Below are 1,120 nucleotides of genomic sequence, written 5' to 3'. Positions count from 1 at the left end.
TACGAGGCTGCATTCCCAGGAGATTAAGGCATGCTAAGTCACAGGATGAGATAGGAGGTAGGCATGTGATACAGGTCATAAAGACCTTGCTGATAAAGCAGGTTGCAATAAAGAAGCCGGTCAAAATCCACCAAAACCAAGGTGGTGACAAGAGTGACCTCTGGTCATCCTCACTGATCATTATATGCTAATTATAATGCATTAGTATGCTAAAAGACACTCCCCCCAGCACCATGACAGTTTACAAATGCCAATGCAATGTCAGGAAGTTACCCTATATGGTCTGAAAAGGAGAGGAACCCTTAGTTCCAGGAATTGCCCATTCCCAGAAAACTCATGAATAATCCACTTGGTGTTTAGCATGTGATCAAGAAGTACCAATAAGTATAAGCAGCTGAGTGGCCCAAGCTGCTGCTCTGCCTGTGTAGTAGCCGTTCTTTATTCTTTTATTTTCTTAATAAACTTACTTTCACTTTGTGGACCTCACCCTGAATTCTTGCTCAAGATCCAAGAGCCCTCTCTTGGGGTCTGAACTGGGACCCCTTTCTGGTAACACTTAGATTAGGTGATCAGAAAAGATCTTTCTGATGAGGTATGTGATGAGAGACATGAAGAAATTGAGGAAATGTGTCATTTGGATGTCTGGGGCTAAAGGCATCCAAGGCAGAAGGAACATGAGTGCAGAGGACTTGAGGTGGGGGTGACCTTGACACATTCAAAAAGGAGAACATATGGTGTGTCTGGAGAGAAGGAGGAATAGCATGTAAGAAATAAACTTGGAGATGTGGTTGGGATCAGATTTCATAAGACCCAGCAGGCCATCGTGAAGACACTGGGTTTAAGTCTGAGTAGAACAGAAAGACATGAAAGGATTTGAGCAGAGGCATGACTTGTAACTGGCTCATTAAATAGTGCCTACACTGGGATGAGAGTAGCCAAACTGGAAGCTGTTGAACATTGAATGTCTGCATGGAGGCTGACAGTAACACTGTGTGCTGTGCCCTATGCTAATGAAACAGTCTACATAGGTGTTTCCCATTTAAACTTTACAACATAAACTTTTGAGCAAAATGCAAGGTTACTTTTGCATACTTTGCCTCCATGAGCTATGATATCATCA

The 1,120-nt window shown here is 42.9% G+C and overlaps 1 annotated feature.

Moving 5' to 3' along the window:
• Positions 543–743: a silencer, noted in NCBI's record as "peak5023 fragment used in MPRA reporter construct". NCBI's record gives its function as "represses an SCP1 promoter by STARR-seq MPRAs in K562 erythroleukemia cells {active_cell/tissue: K562}" and the evidence as "EXISTENCE:reporter gene assay evidence [ECO:0000049][PMID:32103011]".

This window comes from Homo sapiens, chromosome 4 (assembly GCF_000001405.40).
Source record: "Homo sapiens chromosome 4, GRCh38.p14 Primary Assembly".
NCBI lineage: Eukaryota > Metazoa > Chordata > Mammalia > Primates > Hominidae > Homo > Homo sapiens.
This window is presented reverse-complemented; position numbering and strand designations above follow the sequence as displayed.